Here is a 21,947-nt window from a genome sequence, read left to right as displayed (position 1 = left end):
AGATCTCTAACTTCTCATCCCAAGAAGGTAGTTCCACAACTCAATTAGCCTCAGCTTGATAAGAAATTATTTTAGGCTCAGCTTAGGAGGATGGAGATAGCAACAGATAAACAAACTGTTTAATGAAGGCATGGTGAAACATACAACTTCCACCATTGGCTGTCTTGTCTTGTTGAGTTGCAAACATACAGTATCCTTCTATTTCTACCTGGAGATGGTTTTACTTCTCTATTACTAGGTGGCTGTTTCTGCTTTTTAAAAAACAAGAATAGCCCTTTTTTGATGTAAGAATTTATTACTGAAATTCCTAGTTAAAGGCTCCAGAGCAGACTGTTACTACCTCTGAAAAATCACTCAGAGGTACATAATAAAATGACTTTTTTTCTTTGTCAACAATATGCACATAAACTAAACGCCTTAGGCTTTCTAGCTTCTAACAGCTTCACTTCATCACTTAGTACAGCTCAAAACAGGGACTTCTTGCAATAACCTTCAAAGGATTGAGAGTGAGTTAACAAGAGTTCACCAAATACCTTATATATCTCCTTGACAATTTAAAATAATTCAACTGTTCCAGCAGATTAAATTTTTTTTTTAATTTTTGTGGGTATATAGTAGGTATATATCCTAGCAAATTTGAATACTGGGCAACCTGAGGTACAGGCAAGCTATTAAAGGGATATTCCAGGGAGAAATGAATGAAGCTTAGGTTAATAAAGCATGAGTTAGAAATAATATTCAGGTTTATGTAAAAGGAGGTATATAACAACTTTCAAAAAGGGGACTTGGCCAAAAATAGTATGGTAAATATAACTTGAAGACAAAAACTCAAATGTTCTTTGTCCAACAATACTTCAAAAAACCTTAAAAGATCTATGCTTGAGATCAAAACATGTGGGAGCCCATCACTTGATGACTGTAAAAAATTCTGTGTTTATTATATATCAAGGCAGCTTTGTATCCAAGAAAAGCATAATGCTAAATACATCTCCTAATATGCTTGGTGAATTTTGGATTTAGTCTTTCTTTTTTGGCTCTGTAGGAAACAGCTGTATTGGGGTAAAAAATTATAATTCATTTAAATAAAATTTTGCTTAAAAGTTTTTTCTGAGGGTAATACAGGTTTTAACTAAATAAAACTTTTTCAAAAGCAATGTCAAAGGGAAAACAGCATAAGAAGAATAATCAGTGAGACGATTTTGATTCTGTAGATATTCATTCAGAAAATTCATTAGTCTATTCTTTTTATTTTTGCAAGACTGAACCATGTATACCTGCTTTGAGATCAAACAGAAAGCTAACTCCAAAAGGGCAATCCTATAGCTATCCCAGAAGAGCATGTTTTGCTTGCTGGGATGAAATGTGAATATATTTTATGAATATGGACTTCACTATGGGGGAAACAACAGTTTGCACTTTTCTTCTGGCTGAAAGCAAGAAAAGCATGTCTAGTAGCTAAAGAAAAGCATGAACAAGCCCATTCAAAGACCCAGTATTGGACTGAGCAACCAGACCCACCAGGCATGTAAGGTCCTGTGACCCAGCTCCTCACTGGAAATTAAAATCTGTTTGGGCCAAGAACAACCTAATACATTTGGGAGGGTTAAAGGTGTGAATAGAGCAAAACAAAAATAAGCAAGAGATGCTATGTAAAATGATAACTCTCTTAGTTAACCTCTTAATGTAAGAGACTTGTAATTTGCTACTCTTCTTGCCTAGCTTCGGATTGGCTTGGAACCTGGGAAAATAAATGTTTTGGTAAAACCAGTAGCTTCTGAGGGAGCTTTCTCCATCCTTCTTAGCTGGCTTTGTTGAAAACCTGTGGGGGCACAGAGTAAAATTAAGATCTCAAAGGGACCTGTTCCAAATAGAATTTGTCATAGACAACTTGCTACAGGTTCTCTCTGGGAGATGGAGGAGGAGGCGGTAGATCTAAAAATGAACTCGACCTTATTTGTGCCAGAACAAAGCATTAGTGGGGGCGGGGTAGGAGAAGGGGGAGGAGGGATGCTTAAAAAAAAAAAAACCTGCTGGAGTGACAGATAACTTGAGAGAACTTCCTTACAGGGGAAAAAACTTCTAAAGAATGATGGCCAAATTACTTTGGCTGTGTTCAGGTTAGACACTTTTTGATGCCTATCACTTCATAATTTTAGCAGCAATCAAACCAAACACTTCATTAAATATAAAATGTTCTCAAAAGGCAGTTAGTGGTTTTAATTTCCAAACACACTTATTTAGAAATCCCCTCTCAGGGCTGTCAATGAAATGCTGAGGGAAAAACACATCACACACAGGGACTTTGTGAGTCTCAGAAGCCATAACACACCTCATGGAACAAATGACAAATATATGATTGGTACTGCAGGTTCCAGTTAAGAGGAAGCACTGAAGACGAACTAGTCAGGAAATATGCATGTTTAGAATTTCAAGATGTTACACTGCCAAATAAAGGAAATCAACTGACCTTCACTATTCTTCCTAGTCTCTGAAGATGGAACTACTCAGGTCTGGTTTCAGATATGGGCTAAAACAAAGAGATCCAGTTGCCAAGTTTGAAATATCTGAGGGTCCAGCCTCGAAAAACTTCATGTTAAATGAGACAAAGATATGTAAAGCACTTGGTATTTCACCCACCACGCAATACATGTTTAATGAAGGCTGGGCATATTTTTTTCTCAGAGACTTTATACATAACAAGTACTCAAAATACAGGTATTGACAAGGAATAAGATGAGGTTTAAATAATTATTAGAGGCTATATATTAAGCCAGAGGTCTATCTAGTTTTTAAAGTTTAGGTTGGGTCCAGTGGCTCATGCCTGTAACCCCGGTACTTTGGGAGGCTAAGGCAGAAGGATCACTTGAGTCCAGGAGTTTAAGACCAGCCTGGGCAACATACTGAGATCCTGTCTCTACCAAAAATTTAAAAATTAGCTGGGCATTGTGGCATGCACCCATAGCCCCAGCTATTCAGGAGATTGAGATGGGAGGATTGCTTGAGCCCAGGAGGCTGAGAGTGCAGTAAGCAGTGATTGAGCCACTGCACTCCAGCCTGGGTAACACTGTGAGACCCGCCTCAAAAAAAAAAAAAAAAAAAAAAAAAACAAAGGCCAGGCGCAGTGGCTCACGCCTGTAACCCCAGCACTTTGGGAGGCCAAGGTGGGCGAATCACGAGGTCAGGAGATCCAGACCATCCTGGCTAACACAGTGAAACCCCGTCTCTACTAAAAATACAAAAAAATTAGCCAGACAGGTGGCGGGCGCCTGTAGTCCCAGCTACTTGGGAAGCTGAGGCAGCAGAATGGCGTGAACCCGGGAAGCGGAGCTTGCAGTAAGCTGAGATCACGCCACTACACTCTAGCCTGGCCGACAGAGCGAGACTCTGTCTCAAAAATAAAATAAAATAAAATAAAAATTTTATATATATATGACCAATGTTGAATATAATGGGAAAATAATCTTACAACTCCTATAGCAGACAGCATGTTGCTATTTCAGAGTGCAAAACAGTGTAGTTTAATAGAGTTGGACAGATCCTAACTCACATCTTGGCTTTCCAGTTCTGGGACTACAGGGAAATTACTTAATCTCTTTGAGGTTCAATTTTGTCATCTTTAAAATAACAATCCCATACCCACAGGCCTGTTTTTATGATTAAACCATCTTATAGTAACTACTTATTAAATGCTAGGCTCCCCTCTTTCCTTCTTATATCTTACTTCCCGCCCCTCCCCGACAGTTCTTCTGTCATTTTTCTATTATCTCCAATATTTTAAGTCCATTCTGAATTCCCTTCTTTTTCACACTCTCTTAATTCAGAAAATGAAAGAATAGTGCAAATTTGCATCTTGGGACATATGGAAGTTTATACTCTTGGAAAATTAAAGGAACTTTTAGCAATGGTGTAGAATTTTCTAAAGGTGGGTAAAACAATGGAACCATGAGAGGTAGAGGTAGTCCCAATCATATATTTTTCCAGGTAAGTATGACAGATAGAAACTAAAAAGAATCAGAAGGCGAGATGTTTGCATATCTTCATGTTCACCAACATGCAAAAGCATTTTAAACCTAAAGTCCCTTCATGCAATTGCATGCAAAACCAAATGCAGCACAGAATGAAGAAAAGGGGATCAGCAAAGAATGCAGAAGGTTCCAGGCAACCAACTGAAATAAGCTTCAAGTTCATACAAACCTCCAACATTAAATTGCTATGTCTGATATAAATGTTTTCACCATCTAGTCTTTCTCTCTTTTTCTGTGAAAATGAAAGGGGGGAAAACAGAAAAGCATAAAAAATTAAAATGTTGTTCTTGCGGGAAAAAACTGAAAATTGGCAAACCAAAAAATATTTAAAAATAAATGTCCACAGCGCAGCATATGCCAACATGAAATGGTCAGAGAGTCACACGGACACAGAACATGATTACCACAAGAAAATGATGACCTTTTTCATGAATGATGAAAGAATGTGATGATGTTATTTAAATAGACAGTGCTCCTGGCTTCATTGGCTTCTTATGTAACAAGCTGTTTTATCTTCATTTTTGAAATTGAACTGTTTGAGGGTTACCTTAAAATATATGACTAAAAAACGCTGAAACTCCATGTATCATGGAGTGAAGAAATGCTTTAAAAACATTATTTAGCTTTTGGGATGTATTTTATACTTAGTGACACTGCAGTATCTAGATCTCTAATTATAAAATCTAATAAAAGATTAGATCTCTTTTATAAAAAAGATCTAAGAAAGATTATCATTTTATACATGATCAGCCAATAAATATACTCAGTTAACTGATTCAGACTGATTCATCCCACTCTATAGATGAAAAGAATGAGGCACAGAGAAGTCGGCTGTACACAGTACTGGGAGTTGCTGCTACAGTGGGTGTTTTTTTGGAGACAGGGTCTTACTCTGTCACCTAGGCTGGAATGTAGTGGTGCAGCTGTGGCTCACAGCAGCCTTAACCTCCTGGACGCAAGTGATCCTCCTGCCTCAGCCTCCCAAGCAGCTGGGACCACAGGAGTGTATCACCATGCCTGGCTAATTTATTTTTATTTTTTGAAGAGATGGGGTCTCCCTATGTTGCCCAGGCTGGTCTTGAACTCCTGGGCTCAAGGGATCCTCTTGCCTTGACCTCCCGAAGTGCTGGGATTACAGGTGTGAGCCATCACAGCCAGCTATGATGGTTTTCATTTTATGATAAATGTATATAAAATATTATCAATTATTCCAAGAATATGATGTCATTGTGAAATAGTTCTTATAAATTTTTAAATACAAAAGATAGGTTTGACTCTCACTGATTATTTCATTTTGCTTAAAAACATATTTTGCTACTGAAAAGTTTAATGAAACTTTTCAACATATAGTACAGGATTATGGTTTCTTCAGTTTATGTAAATATATGTGTATATCTGTCACCCAGGCTGGAGCACGGTGGCACGATCTCAGCTCACTGCAACCTACACCTCCCAGGTTCAAGTGATTCTCATGCCTCAGCCTCCCAAGTAGCTGGGATTAAAGGCGTGCACCAACACGCCTGGCTAATTTTTGTATTTTTAGTAGAGACGTGGTTTCACCATGTTGGCCAGGCTGGTCTCAAACTCCTGACCCCAAGTGATCCTCCTGCCTCGGCCTCCCAAAGTGCTGGGATTATAGGTGTGAGCCAATGCTCCTGGCCCATATCCATTATTTGAAACTATTAACAACTCCTGATTAAAAGAAATCAATGAAAAGAATGGATCACTGTCTTTTTAATGCACTGTAAGTCAGCATGGGTGAAATGGCAATGTAGTTTTGTGAAAGTGAAAAATGGCTAACCTTCCTCATTCTTATCAGATCTTCAGTTTTTTCTGCAAGCTTCTGTTTTGCCATAATTTAAAAAAGAAAGAAAAATGATAAAATGTTGCTCATTGAAGTTTGTTTGAACCTTCATTTTATAATTTTTTTAAGGAAAAGGGAGTAAGGGAGAAGAAAAAAACTGAGGGGGTGGAGGGAAAGAGGAACAAGTGGCCTATTGGCACAAACCTGTGTTTGGTCACCATTTGAGGTGGGTACTGTCACCTCGATGTGGGTTTTTTCCACCTACATTTAAGAAATAAAAGTAGTAAAAACATTTTAGGTTAGTAGGTTTCTATGAATAGTGTTGTTTCCAAATAAGCTGCATCTTTAAGCTGGTTGTGAAATACGCTGATACGTAATCATCATGATGCAGTCTTATGGAGGGTGTTACAGGGAAGGATATTACTCCCAAAAGTCATCTGTGTTTACCATCACATTTTCAAGGCTGAAAAGGTAATATGGATATCCAAATTATCAAAAAAGAAAATTAAGGTAAGTATTCTATTGATGAAGAAAATATATTTTTATACTTATTTATAAAAAAGTACCCACTAAAAGAATAATTTAGGCTTATTTAATGCAATAGCCCATGTTTTTGTTTTGCCTTTAAAAACTGATCTGGAAATACTTTAAATAACATTTAAAAACAAATTTACATATGAAGTTATCAACGTATGACATATATGACAGGAAGAAAAAGAAAATCTTTAGTTAAAACACACATGTAATAAACCACATATGACACCAAACTAGTAAACACAAAGGATTTTGTTAGTTGAACAATATACTTAAAGAGGCACTTCATTCTTCAGTTTATTACACAACAAAACATTACAATAAACCCAATTTAAATTGTAACTGACACATGAAATTACTCCCAGGGCTGGCTTATAAACAAGCACATGCAGGATTCAGCTGCAACATTCAACACACTGCAATCTCCTCTAGGGAGGTGGAGCCTATGTGTTTGGTAGAAGGGCAAGATTCATCCTTGATATTAATAGCAGAAAGGGAATAGCTAAGGTCTCCTGCCTAGCTTTGAAATACCTTTAGTAACATCATTTTATACATAGAAAATGGAGCAATTATTTAAAAAAAACAGACTATTAAGAGGGAGCATAATAGAGGGAGCAATGCCCAAAGCATTGGATATTTTAAATTAAAAAATTGATTATTTTTACTAAGGGCTAAATCACTTTGTATCATTAAGTTCTTTACAGAACCTCATCAATCTGTGGTGTTGATATTCTTTTTAATCACACTAAGCAGCATTACTTTGGAGTATAATGTCATTGTGCTATTTTCCCTAGACTGAGTCTAAAAAACCTAAGAGAGCACCAAAATTAGTGACACTGTCAAGTGTTAAGTTAAGCACACCCCATTACAGCACTTTAACTACCAGGGGTAATTAACGGTTTGGGGTTATTTCTTTTTCTTTTTTTTTTTTTTTTTTTTTTTGAGACAGAGTCTCACTCTGTCGCCCAGGCTGGAGTGCAGGTGCGATCTCGGCTCACTGCAAGCTCCACCTCCCGGGTTCACGCCATTCTCCTGCCTCAGCCTCCCAAGTAGCTGGGACTACAGGCACCCGCCACCATGCCTGGCTAATTTTTTGTATTTTTAGTAGAGACGGGGTTTCACCGTGTTAGCCAGGATGGTCTCGATCTCCTGACCTTGTGATCCGCCCGCCTCAGCCGTCCAAAGTGCTGGGATTACAGGCGTAAGCCACTGCGCCTGGCTGGTTTTGGGTCATTTCTACTTTGAGTCCCAGCATACTTGCTGTGTGGTCATTAACAAGTTTTTTTTACCCCTCAGAGCTTAAACTTCTTATGGACAAAATGGAGATGATGTCTTCCCAGAATTGTACATTTAGCAAACAATAGTGTTAAATTATTTTACAAAGCTTAAATTCCTTGTTCAAGTGAATAATGACTTCTTTTTGCTTTGGATCTTTATCAATCCAATAGCAGAAAACTGAGAGCCTCTACTTCAGTTTAAGAATTGAGGCCAGCCGGGTACGGTGGCTCACGCCTGTAATCTCAGCACTTTGGGAGGCCGAGGTGGGCGGATCACCTGAGATCAGGAGTTCGAGACAATCCCGGCCAACATGGTGAAACCTTGTCTCTACCAAAAATACAAAAATTAGCTGGGCATGGTGGCGGGCACCTGTAATCCCAGCTACTCAGGAGGCTGAGGAAGGAGAATCGCTTGAACCTGAGAGGCGGAGGTTGCAGTGAGCTGAGATCGCACCATTGCACTCCAGCCTGGGTGACAGAGCAAGACTCCGTCTCAAAAAAAAGAATTGAGGCCAAGTAGCAACAGTAGTTCTGTGTATGCCCCTACACAGAACATTAAATGAGATAATATACATGGGGGAGACAGCACCTACAGGTATACTGGCAGAATATATCTCATTAAAATGCCAACAAAAAGCTATCTCTATCTGGCACCAAACTAATGTCAGATAATGAAATTTACAGTTACAAGGCTACTTTATCACTACTATTGCTTTATATAATAAATATGGCTTCAAGTAAATGCCATAGTTTTTTTTTTGTTTTGTTTTGTTTTGTTTTGTTGTTTTTTGTTTTTTTTTTTTTTGAGACGGAGTCTCGTTCTGTCACCCAGGCTGGAGTGCAGCGGCGCGATCTCGGCTCACTGCAAGCTCCGCCTCCCGGGTTCACGCCATTCTCCTGCCTCGGCCTCCCGAGTAGCTGAGACTACACGCGCCTGCCACCACGCCTGGCTAATTTTTTGTATTTTTAGTAGACGGGGTTTCACCATGTTGGCCAGGATGGTCTCAATCTCCTGACCTTGTGATCCGCCTGCCTCGGCCTCCCAAAGTGCTGGGATTACAGGCGTGAGCCACCGCGCCCGGCCCTTTTTTTTTTTTTTTTTTTTTTTGAGACAGTCTTGCTCTGTTGCCCAGGCTGGCGTGGCGTGCAGTGGCGCAATCTCAGCTCACTGCAACCTCTGCCTCCCAGGTTCAAGTGATTCTCCTGCCTCAGCCTCCCAAATAGCTGGGATTACAGGTGTCTGCCAGCAGGCCCAGCTAATTTTTGTATTTTTAGTAAAGACGGGGTTTTGCCATGTTGGCCAGGCTGTGATCCACCCGTCCTGGCCTCCCAAATTGCTGGGATTACGGGCGTGAGCCACCGTGCCTGCCGCCATAGTTATTTTCTAACTGCTATGTATAAAATCAGCTCAGAGTCACCCTTAATTCTGCCACCACTATTACAATAATAAGTTATCAGAGGTGGCCTTCAGTCTCATTTCAACACAAGTATCTCGAATCATATATTTATGTAGAATTAATTGGCAACAAAGACCCCCTATTGGCACTTAAAATGGAAAGCATATACCAGGTAGTGATCTCTTCACTCTGCCAAGTTCCCAAGAGCAAAGGGAGCCTATTGTTGAAGGTATTTATGTCTGTGTTATAGGCAAAAAGGAGAAAAAGTGAGTCAGCAGAAAGCCAGAGGAATCTTAGCCACTAGGAAGATTCCCCTGACAATTCCAGTAATCCAACACTTTTTAGTTAGTATAACAAATAGAGGGATAGTCAAAAGTGCCTGGTGAGATATTCTAACATTAAGAACTGAAGAGGTAGTCTAACATTAAACAGGCATTGTTGACAGTGAACCTGATGACCAATGTCATAAACATTTGGCTAGGTACAAAAATGTAAACACCTACCATTCACTCAATCTGTTTTTCTCTCTGGACTCAAGGTAGTCCCAAATGGACAGTAAAACTGTATGTCATATTTAACAGTTTATTTATTATTATTATTTTTTGAGACGGAGTCTTGCTCTGTCACTCAGGCTGGAGTGCAGTGGTGTGATCTGGGCTCACTGCAACCTCTGCCTCCCAGGTTCAAGCAATTCTCCTGCCTTAACCTCCCCAGTAGCTGGGATTACAGGCACCTGCCATCATGCCCAGCTAATTTTTGTATTTTTAGTAAAGACGGGGCTTCACTATTTGAGACAGCGTCTCACTTTGTCACCCAGGCTGAAGTGCAGTGGGCGATCTCGGTGCACTGAAGCCTCTTCAACCTCTCAGGTTCAAGCTATCCTTCTGTCTCAGTCCCCCAAGGAGCTGGGACTACAGATGTGCGTCACCATACCCAGCTAGTTTTTTTATTTTTTGTAGACATGGGGTTTCACCATTTTGCCAAAGCTGGTCTTGAACTCCTGGGCTCAAGGGATCCGCCCGCCTTGCTCTCCCAAAGTGCTAGGATTACAGGTGAGAGCCTCCACACCTGGCCTAACAGTTTTTTTTTTTTTTTTTTTTTTTTTAATATAATCAAAACATAGTTAGACTGTCCACTGCTCTAGAGATAAACTAGATATTGATCTGGCTCCAAAAGAACAAGGTTAATCCATCTGCCAAAGCGAGAACACTTACTAAGATCTTATGGTTAAAAAAATTTTTTTTAATTTCTTAACAGACATATAAAAATGTAATTCTTCTTATGAAGACTGCTTCTCATAATTCCTGTTGCCAACAGCAAGAGCTATATTTATTTCAATAAATCTGAGCTAGCACTTCGATTCCATCACGGCTTAAATGTGTTTACAAAGCTTAACATATAAAAGGTCAGTCTAGTCACTGTCTAGGAAATCTGCTAATTAAATTGGTGATTTTTCAACACAGTGCAGTGACTGTGGGTGCAATTAACTCAGAACCATAGGCAACTCAGCAGTACAACCTCTCCTACATAATGAATCTTCTCCTTTTTGTAAAGGTACTTAAGATTTGAGCAACCACACAGATGCGCTTTATGTAATACCAGTTCTTTGGAAATGTGCATACATCCATCTTAGAAAATAAAATTTTATTTTAATCACAATAGCAGAGCTTAGTCTTAAAAAGCAATGTGGAGATTCCTTCTAGATGAGTAAAATTATTTTAAAAAGCAGAGGATCAATCATACTGGTGTGTTTTATAAGATCATTTAAAAAAATAATAGTTGGGGCCGGGCGCGGTGGCTCATGCCTGTAATCCCAGCACTTTGGGAGGCCGAGGCGGGCGGATCACAAGGTCAGGAGATCAAGACCATCCTGGCTAACACGGTGAAACCCCGTCTCTACTAAAAATACAAAAAATTAGCCGGGCATGGTGGCGGGCGCCTGTAGTCCCGGCTAATCAGGAGGCTGAGGCAGGAGAATGGCATGAACCCACGAGGCGGAGTTTGCAGTGAGCCAAGATCGCACCACTGCACTCCAGCCTGGGTGACAGAGCGAGACTCCATCTCAAAAAAATAAATAAATAAATAAAAATAATAGTTGGGTCAAGGAGTGGGTCACCTTATAACTTCTGAGATAGCTTACAGTCTTACTGACATAACTCTACGAAAATATTTTATAGGTTCATGGGAGACATCTTCATTTAGAAAGAATGAAGAATAACTTTGTTGAGTCTATGAGAATAAGCAATTGCTTTGAAAACGTTCCTGGTCAAAAAGTTAAGGCCTCTAAATCAGAAAGTGAGTTAGCTAGGTATTTGGACTGATGACATACCTTCCATGCTTCTGTGGGCTCTGGCTCAGCTTGCTCAGGTGGCTCGTCTTCCTTTTTCACTTCAGCCTTCACTGTTTCCTTCTGTGCTTTAGGGACCACTGTTTTTTTAGCAGAGGCATCTAGGACGCCACCTTCTGCAACCTGACCCTGAGTAATGGCAGGTGCAGAAGTGGGCCGAGGACTTCGGTCTGCCGAATCGACAGCTGCTGCTATGTGAGAAAGGGAAAAGGGAAGCATAAGTAAAGGCCAGAGCTACTGTATTATTTCAAAGTCACCAGGCAAAATAATTGTGAATCCAGGATACACACGAATGTTAGAGTGTGTAGTGGGCTATCACACAGAGGGTAAAAAATAAATCATTAGTGCTCTGCCAGGGAACTGATAGCAACAAGGAAGTTAAATGTACCCTCAGTAGAAAGGCTAAAATGTGTTAATGATCATGTTCCATGAATGCTGAATTCAGGGGAGACAAGATCAAAGAAAAGAAATAGAAAATCCATTTATCTCGTAATTTTAGTTTCAAAAACCTGCAATGTTGTCTATGGCAGGAAAAAAAGGGTTAACTAAATGTGATTTCTTCCATGAGGCATTTTAAAAATAAAGATGTGTTCATTTTTAGGTTATTTCAGGAACCTAAAAATATATTGTAAGAAAAAAGAATTAAGTCTGATTTCTTCTGTAAGCCTCCTTGGAATGATTACAAAATAACTTGATAAATGGCTCTTCTGGTAAGACATGAACTACTTTCTGATGCTTGTAAGGACAAATATTTGAACCAGATGCTCTCCCTTTTAATAATAAATCATTTGATTAAAATAACACAAATTCAAAATCTTTGACTGTCAGTCCTCAAACCTAAACAAAAATATCTTTTGAGTTCTGTCCTACTATCTCTCAGCCTTACCAATTTGTATTACAGCTCTTATTCTCTAATATGTTTAGGGCAGTGGTTCTCAACTGGAGTAAATTGTCCCCAGAGAATATCTGGCAATGTCCGGAGACATTTTTGGTTGTTGTAACAGAGGAGGGGAGAGACGGGAGGTACTGGCATCCAGTGCATAGAGGCTGAAGTTACTGAGGTTGAGAAACCTTAATTTAGGGGAAAAGTTGTATAGACTGTTTTAGAGAGAATAAACTATACAGACTTATGATAAAATCTTGATCTTTTCAAAGAGCCAATTGTTGTTTTGGAATATTTGGTATCTAAGTTTTAGACAGCTTACTTCAAAACAATCACTCATACTCTTTTTATGGTTTTTATGTTCATTCTTTCAGGGATATAAAACATTTACACTTTGTAATAAAACTTCACTTATCTGACAGTATCTAGGAATGAAAGTGTTTTTGTGCATGATTTAGTATTTCTGATAACATATTGTTATCCTCTTTTGTACTGAGACTTTTTTTTTTTTTTTAAGATGGAGTCTTGCCCTGTCGCCTAGGCTAGAGTGCAATGGCATGATCTCGGCTCACTAGAATCTCCGCCTCTCAGGTTCAAGTGATTCTCCTGCCTCAGCCTCCCCAGTAGCTGGGACTACAGGCACATGCCACCATGCCTGGCTAATTTTTTGTATCTTTAGTAGAGATGGGGTTTCACCATGTTGGCCAGGCTGGTCTTGAACTCCTGACCTCAAGTGATCTGCCTGCCTTGGCCTCCCAAAGTCCTGGGATTACAGGCGTGAGCCACCGCTCCCAGCCAAGACTCTTATATTTTAATCAATTTGCATGGAAATCAATAATTTTTATTATAGACTTTCCTGCATTCTTAAACTGACTATAACTGAACATGATTCATCCTGAAATTTTTAGATTTGTAAACTGTAAGGATCAGATAAAGGAATTCCATGAATCTGAACAGATAAAAACTTTAAATTCCCAACTACTTCATACAACAATATTAAGAAAGAAATGCTTGGCCAGGCACGGTGGCTCACACCTGTAATCCCAGCACTTTGGGAGGCCGAGGTGGGCAGATCACCTGAGGTCGGGAGTTCGAGACCAGCCTGGTCAACAAGGTGAAACGTCGTCTCTACTAAAAATACAAAAATTAGCCAAGTGTGGTGGTGGGCGCCTGTAGTCATAGCTACTCGGGAGGCTGAGGCAGGAGAATCACTTGAACCCGAGAGGCAGAGGTTGCAGTGAGCTGAGATCGTGCCACTGCACTCCAGCCTGGGCAACAGAGCCAGACTGTCTCCAAAAAAAAAAAAAAAAAAAAAAAAAAAAACAGAAAAAGAAAAAGAAAGAAATGCTCATTACTCTGTCATAATTTCCAATGAAAGAACTAATTCCTTAGCGGATATATAGGAAAAACAGCAGAAATTCAAGAATCCCCTTTATCAGCCAGGCGTGGTGGCTCACGCCTATAATCCCAGCACTTTGGGAGGCCAAGGTGGGTGGATCACGAGGTCAGGAGATTGAGGCCATCCTGGCTAACACAGTGAAACCCATCTCTACTAAAAAATACAAAAAATTAGCTGGGCGTGGTGGCGGGCGTCTGTAGTCCCAGTTACTTGGGAGGCTGAGGCAGGTGAATGGCCTGAACCCAGGAGGTGGAGCTTGCAGTGAGCCGAGATCGTACCACTGCACTCTAGCCTGGGCAACAGAGCAAGACTCTGTCTCAAAAAAAAAAAGGATCTCCTTTATCTTTCCATGAAAAATCTGCGGCCTCTTGCACAGATTGCTACTACTGGGTTAGTAGTAATAACTCTGGATTAGCACAGAGCTACTACTAATGGGTGCTTTAAGCAGTCACTGCAAGAGTGGCAGATGGCAGACCAAACCTGACAACACAGGGGAATGTGACAAAATATTTTGCTCACAGTTGTGTTTAAGTATCATTATACATGTGTATTCACACCTCCTCTCAAAGAATTAATTCAACTATGCCTGGCATCATAGAAACTTAGCCCATGCTTTCACCATGTGTTATTTTGCCACTTGTCTTTGGTTTCAATCCAGTACTAATACTGCAGAGCCAAATGATTTATGTCTTCAGCATTCCTAGCCTTGGCAATCTGTACTGTATGTGGAAAAGAAGGTATTAGTGTGGAAACTGACAGAAACAGAGTTCACAGATTGGAAAAATAATAACATTACAATAAAAAGCTCTGGCTGTGAAAGGCTGCGTGGAACAGAGGCAAAAGCCAAATCACGAGTCTTAGGCCCACACTCAGTCACATATAGTAGTGTGCCTAAGGCGTGGAGCTTAATCTTACAAACTTTAGTTTAATCATCTGTAAAATATGGAAGATATTAACTCTATAATATCATGGTAGTGATCATGGCTTTTTTTAACAGCTTTTTTTGAGATACAATTCACATACCACACAGTTCACTCATTTAAAATATATAATTCAATGCTTTTTAGTATATTCACAGTGTTGGGGGTAAGGATTGCTTTTTAAGATGTGTGGGTCTTCAGTTTTATTAATTCAGCTGTTAATATTTACAAGATTTTGGTGCATATATAGACAATACATAACTTTAAAAATCCAGTATCTCCCATATCTGAGGGTCTACATAAAGAAAAATGCTGATGGTGACCCACTAACTTCAATACTATATTGCTCTTGGCTGACAACAGAAACTTAGATAGTTATATACTACAGCAGTAAAGAATAAAATTCAAACCATCAGACTGAGTAAAGGCAAACAACTTCTACTTCTAGCTGTTATTTACTAGCACAATTTCTGCTAGTATGCGGTAGGGTGGTTCTTTTATCAGAGGACCACATAAATCATTTGTGTCCTCTGATACAATGTTTGTTTTTCAAGACAAAAAACAAAAAAATCAGATGATGCTCAGGCCCACTCTAGTGAGATGAGCTATCCAAGAGTGAGGCTTGGGCATGTGTTTTGTTTTAAAGCTCCAAAGGTGATAAGGATGTACACCCCTGGCAAGAATCACTGTAACCACTGCTCACTGAATGGATGAACTACCTGGTTGTGTGGCCCTTTCTTTTGTGCTCCAGTTTCCTCATGAGTAAAACTGTAATTCCTAAATGTTTTCTCTTATTGACTAAGTTGCTAGTATTAAATAGGAATACATGGAAATGGTTTGAAAAGCAAAAAGTGCAAGAAAAATATAATCTTTGTCATCATTATTAGCTACGCTTGCAACTTACTACTCTATCATAAAACTGGGATCTGAACCAGTTTTGGTACTCCAGCTGGTGAAGCAGATGCTCTAAGCACCACACATAACAGAAGAGGAAGGGAATGCTCATTTTTATCATTAAAATAAGACCCCTTATAAAGCAATTCTTGTAAAAGTTTCCCTGATACACCATCTCTAGCTTACAGAGTTATATTAATCTTTTGAAAAGGGAGGGGTGACTCAACGGGAAAAAGTATCTTTTAAGGAGCACAGAGAAGTATCTAAGGAAAGGAGGGAAAAATAGTTACACAGACATATTTCCACTTTTTATACTATAGTACAAAGAGAAAAATAAGACATTTAAAAACAGAACTACAAAAAAAAATTGTCCTATTCAGTTTATATGCACTTCAGATACTTAAAAGATAGAACAGTGCCTGGAACATACTAAGTGCTCAAGGAATATTGACTATTAACTTTTATTCTACTCTTTCTAAAAAAAAGAAGTCATCATGGTGAAGAGTAAAAAGCATGGGCCTAGGAGAATTGTCCCGGATTCCCTTCTAATTCTTTCCAACTAGCTATGTAACCTTAGGCAAGTCACTTACATTCTAAGGTTAAGTTGTAAGAAATAATGAACATTAATGAGTATCTAGTTCAAGAATTTTTTTTAAAAAAGCTCAATAAAAGCGTAAAGAAAATAATAGGCCGGGCGCGGTGGCTCACGCCTGTAATCCCAGCACTTTGGGAGGCTGAGGTGGGTGGATCACCTGAGGTCAGGAGTTCGAGACCAGCCTCAACATGGAGAAACCCCGTCTCTACTAAAAATACAAAATTAGCCGGGCGTGGTGGTGCATGCCTGTAATCCCAGCTACTCGGGAGGCTGAGGCAGGAGAATTGTTTGAACCTGGGAGGCAGAGGTTGCGGTGAGCCGAGATCACGCCATTGCACTCCAGCCTAGGCAACGAGAGCAAAACTCCGTCTCAAAAAAAGAAAATAATAAAGATATCAGCTGGCATGAGTTAAACTATATATAATAGGAAAAAAACAACAAAACCAAAAGTTGGTTCTTTGAAAAACTTAAGACAATTACTTTGTACCCCATAAATATATACAATTATAAATTGTCAGCCAGGCTCGGTGGCTCACTCACGCCCGTAATCCCAGAACTTTGGGAGGCCGAAGCAGGTAGATTACTTGAGGTCAGGAGGTAGAGACCAGCCTGACCAACATGGTGAAACCTCGTCTCTACTAAAAATACAAAAATTAGCCGGGCATGGTGGCGCATGCCTGTAATCCCAGCTACTTGGGAGGCTGAGGCGGGAGAATCGCTTGAACTTGGGAGGCAGAAGTTGCAGTGAGCCGAGATCACGCCATTCCAGCCTGGGCAGCAAGAGTGAAACTCCACCTCAAAAATAAATACATACATACATACATACATACATACATAAATTGTCAATTTACAATATAAAAAAGAAAAGATTAATAAAATCAATATACCTCTACCAAGGCTATTCGAAACAAAAAGGTACAACTTACCAATATCAGGAATGCAAAAGTGGACCCTGCTATAGTTCTTACAGATATTGAAAAGATACCCAGCTTTATGTAAATATATTTGGAAATTTAGATAAAATGCACATTTCCTAGAAAAACACAACTAGGCCAGGTGCGATGACTCACACCTATAATCCCAGCACTTTGAGAAGCCAAGGTGGGAGGACTGCTTGAGCCCAGGTGTTCAAGATCAGCCTGGGCAACACAGTAAGACCTTGTCTCTACAAAAAAAAAAAAAAAAAATTAGCCAGGCGCGGTAGCGTGAACTTGTGGTACCAGCTACTCAGGACGCTGAGGTGGGAGGATCATTTGGGCCTGGGAGGTCAAGGCTACAGCAAGCTATGACGGCACTACTGCACTCCAGCCTGAGAGAGCTAAGACTCTCTCTCCAAAAAAAAAAAAAAAAGGAAAGAAAGAAAGAAAAAAGAAACACAATTTATCAAAACTGAAACAAGAACTAGAACATTTTAATAGTCCCTTATCTAATAAAGACACTGAATCTGTAAGTAAAGAACCTCCCACAGTGAGATCTCTAGGACCAGATATGGCTTCATAGGCGAATTCTTCTAAACAGTAACAAAGAAATGACAACAGTCTTTAACAAACTCTTCCAGAGAACAGAAAAAGAAGGAATTCTTCTCAATTTATTTTATGAGACCAGCATAAACTCGAAACTAAAACCTGACCACAACATTACAAAAGGAAAATTATAGGCCTATCTCTCTTATGAAAATAGTTGTAGAAATCCTAAAACAATAAAAAAGAAAAGAGTATTACGACCAATTCGAACTTACTCCAAAAATTCTTAGGTCGTTTAAAAATTGAAAGTAAAAATAATATACCACATTAACATAAAAAGGAGAAAAATCATTTTATTATATCAACTGATGAAGTAAAAAGCATTTGATAAAAGTAACACTAATTCACAATTAAAATGTGTAGGAAACTAGAATGACAACTTCCTTATATGATAAAGAAAATACCATATAAGGAAGCTTGATGAAATACTGAAGCTTTTGCCCTAAAATTGGGAAAGATGATAGTTATTAATGCTTGTATTCAGCATTACATTGGACGTTCTAGCCAGCAACAAAGCAATTAAAGAAATTAAAAATGCGAGATGGAAAGGAAGACATACAACAATCATTATTTTCAGTTGATGTTGAGTACACAATAATGTATACCCCAAATAATCCACAGATAAACCATTAAAATTAATAATAAATTTTTTAGGGCTGGGTGTGGTGGCTCACGCTTGTAATCCCAGCACTTTGGGAGGCCGAGGTGGGTGGATCACGAGGTCAGGAGTTCGAGAACAGCCTGACCAACAGGGTGAAACCTCGTCTCTACTAAAAATACAAAAAATTAGCCGGGCATGGTGGTGGCGTGCACCTGTAATCCCAGCTACTCAGGAGGCTGAGGCAGGAGAGTCACTTGAACCCAGGAGGCAGAGGTTGCAGTGAGCCGAGATAGTGCCACTGCACTCCAGTCTGAGTGACAGAGTGAGACTCTGTCTCAAAAAAAAAATAAAATTAAATTAAAAAAAAATTTTTTTAGTAAGATTACTGAGTATAAGGTCAAACTAGAAAAATTAATTGTATTTCTATGTACCAAAACAATTGAACAAAAAATAAAAAATTTAGGATACCATTTATTTTATTTTGTTTTATTTTATTTTATTTTAGAGACAGGGTCTCACTCTGTTGCCCAGGCTGCAGTGCAGTGGCACAAGCACAGCTCACTGCAGCCTTAACCTCCTAGGCTGAAGTGATCCTCCTGCCTCAGCCTTCCATGTAGTTGGGACCACAGGTGTGCACTACCATGCTCAGCTAATTTTTTTTTTTTTTTTTTTAGAGACAGGGTCTTGCCATGTTGCCCAGGCTGGTCTTGAACTCTCAGACTCAAGCGATCCTCCCACCTTGGCCTCCCAAAGTACTGGGATTATAGGCATGAGGCACTGCAACCAGCCAAAAACCAAAAGATACCATTTAAGATAGCAAACGATGGCTGGGTGTGGTGGCTCACTCTTGTAATCCTAGCACTTTGGGGAGCCAAGGTGGGAGGATTGCCTGAGCCTGGGAATTTGAGACCAGCCTGGGCAACATGGCAAGACCCTGTCTCTAAAAAAAAAAAAAAAAATTAGCTGGGCATGGTGGCATGCACCTGTAGTCCTAGCTACTTGTGAGGCTGAGGTGGGAGGATCACCTGGGCCTGGGAGACTGAGGCTGCAGTGACTTGTGATCGCTCCATCGCACTCCAGCCTGGATGACAGAGTGAGACCCTATCTAATAATATTAATATAAAATAGCAAATGACATCAAATCTGTAAGAATAAATCTAATGAAAGATGCACAAGTTACCTACACCAAAAATCACAAAACATTACTGAGAGAAATTAAAGGAAACCCAAACAAAAGGAGGGTTATAGCATGTTTGTGAATCAGAAGACTCAATATTATAATACCAATTATCTCCAAACTGATCCATATAATCAACTAAATCCCAATAAAAGTATTAAGACTTTTTTAGTGGAAATAGAAAATCTGATTCTACAATATATAAGATAACGCTAAGGGCTAAAAATAGCCAAGATAATCTTAGAGAATATTGTTAGAGAATTTAAACACTTATAAAAGCTAGAATAATTAAGATAGTGTGGTATTGACACAAGGGTACACAAAGATCAATACAAGAGATTAGAGAGACCAGAAATGAACTCCCAAATTTATGGTCACCTGATTTATAACAAAGGTGACACTGGAATGCAGTAGGGAAAGAATGGTATTTTATTTTATTTTATTGTTATTTTTGAGACGGAGTCTCACTCTGTCATCCAGGCTGGAGTGCAGGCGCGATCTCAGCTCACTGCAACTTCTGCCTCCTGGGGTCAAGCGATTCTCCTGCCTCAGCGTCCTGAGTAGCTGGGAATTCAGGCATGTGCCACCATGCCCAGCTAACTGGCTAATATTTTTGTATTTTTAGTAGAGACAGGGTTTCAACATGTCAGCCTGGTTGGTCTCGAACTCCTGACCTCAAATGATCCGCCCGCCTCAGCCTCCCAAAGTGCTGGGATTACAGGTGTGAGCCACCACATCCAGCCAATATTTATTTATTAAATACACTGTAGCAAGAACTGTGGTAATTACCATGAAAAGTTAAGACCATACATCTTAAAAAAAAATTCAGAATATAAATGTAATAAGGCAGTCAAGATGTGATTTCTGTAAAGCTTTCTAACTTGTTCAAGGTACCAAAGCTCATTAACACTTGACTCTTTGGTTATCTTTGCTATCAGGAAAAGACAATACATCAGGCATAGTATCTATATAACCATGAAACTCCATTTAGCAAGGAAAGCCATGGAACATGCTATCAGACAGACCTGGATTTTTGTCATAGTTTGCAACTTACTGTCTGTGAGATGCTGAACAAGTCACTTAAACTTTCCAACCTCAGTTTTCTCACCTGAAAAATGGGGATAAAAAGATAATTCCCCACACATAAGGTAAACTAGAAGTAAGGTGATTTACTGGACAAGGAGGGAGATGCCTGATATTGTTATCTGAATATGGCAAAGACATGAAGATTAAATGATTATGCCTCAAACTTAACTTATCCACAGTAGGAGTTTTTATTTTCCATATCCCCAACTCTGCTACTCTCCCAGATTTTCTCATTCTACTAAATGATTAAGCCAAGCAATAAAACTTGAGTTTCTTTTCCTTATCATCTCCAATACTTAATTTGTCAGCAATTCAGTCAGCCCTATCTCCAAATGTATCCCTGACTACTTTTCCCTGTCTTTGTTGCCAACACTCAAGTCCAGGCTGTCCCAGACTCTGCAACAGCCTTCGCCCTGCTTTTCACTGACACTTCAATGGACTATTCAGCTGTCAGCGATCTTTTAAAAATGGGATTCAGATTGCATCACTCCCTCTAATAGCTTCCCAGTGCAAATGAAATACAATCTAAACTCTTTACTGTGACCCACAAGGCCCTATACAATCTGGCTCCCACCTACTTCTCCGACCTCACTTATTTTGTACTCCTCGCCCCTTCATTTTCTGGAATCTAGACCTATGCTGTCTGATATGTGAGCTACACACCACATGTGGCTATTTAAATTGGAATTAAAATTCCGTTCCTCAGGCACATAGCCACATTTCAAGTTCTTAGCTTAGCAGCTATTGGCTGCTGAACTGGATATCACAAAATGAAAGATTTCCATCAGCACAGAAAGGTCCATGGGACAGCACTGCTCTAGACACATGGCAAGCTCATTCCTACTTTCAGGACTTTGTACTTGCTACTCCCTCTTCTGCAAGGCTCTTTCCCCAGATTTTGAGATGGCCGGCTCCTTCACATAATTCAGGTCTCAGCTCAAATGAAGCTCCTCAAAGAAGCCTTCTAAATTAGATTGGACCATCCAATCTGAAATACTCCTTAATTTCCCCCATCCCCAGATAGTCTATATCCCTCATCCTGTTTTATTTTCTCCACAGCATTCATCACCATCTGAAATTATTTTGTTTTATTCTTCTTTGTTTCCAATGACAGAAGGTAAGCTCCATGAAGGCAGAGACTATGTTTGTGTGCTCACGGCTGTATCTCTAGTGACTGGAATACCATCTGGCCCATAGGAAAAATTGTTGAACAAAGTAATAAATATGTATCTGAAAGAACATGAGTTTTGGAGTTAAACCAACCTGAATTTCACTCTTAGCACTTCCATTTACCAGATGTCACGTCTTATGAAAAGTCATTTTAATCTCCAAGCCTAGTTCATAGTGTTTTCATGAAGATTAAGACAAAGCATGCAACATGCCTTGTATTGTTACTATTAAAACAGCCCCTCAGGAGAGTAGAAAAACACCAAAAAAAAAAAAGTTGGGGGGTGTCATGTCTATAATCTCAGCACTTTGGGAGGC

General features: G+C 39.5%; 1 protein-coding gene across 70 annotated transcripts in view; it reads right to left on the bottom strand.

Annotated features, from left to right (window-relative positions):
* EPB41 (erythrocyte membrane protein band 4.1) overlaps nucleotides 1-21,947 on the bottom strand; it is a 232,942-nt gene that overhangs the window by 55,363 nt on the left and 155,632 nt on the right. For 13 of the 70 annotated variants that reach the window (NM_001166005.2, NM_001376022.1, NM_001376024.1 and 10 more), the window contains exons 12-15: nucleotides 11,367-11,575; nucleotides 6,034-6,090; nucleotides 5,827-5,868; nucleotides 4,195-4,257 (exon numbers count right to left, since the gene is read on the bottom strand). In NM_001166005.2, the coding sequence (NP_001159477.1) occupies nucleotides 4,195-4,257; nucleotides 5,827-5,868; nucleotides 6,034-6,090; nucleotides 11,367-11,575 (371 nt within the window). The remainder of the gene's footprint in view (nucleotides 1-4,194; nucleotides 4,258-5,826; nucleotides 5,869-6,033; nucleotides 6,091-11,366; nucleotides 11,576-21,947) is intronic. The other 57 variants (NM_203343.3, NM_001166007.2, NM_001376027.1 and 54 more) reach the window with 9 other exon arrangements.

The sequence above is a fragment of the Homo sapiens genome, chromosome 1 (assembly GCF_000001405.40).
Source record: "Homo sapiens chromosome 1, GRCh38.p14 Primary Assembly".
In the NCBI taxonomy this organism is placed as follows: domain Eukaryota; kingdom Metazoa; phylum Chordata; class Mammalia; order Primates; family Hominidae; genus Homo; species Homo sapiens.
The sequence above is the reverse complement of the archived record's forward strand: the minus strand, read 5'-3'. Positions and strand labels throughout refer to the sequence as shown.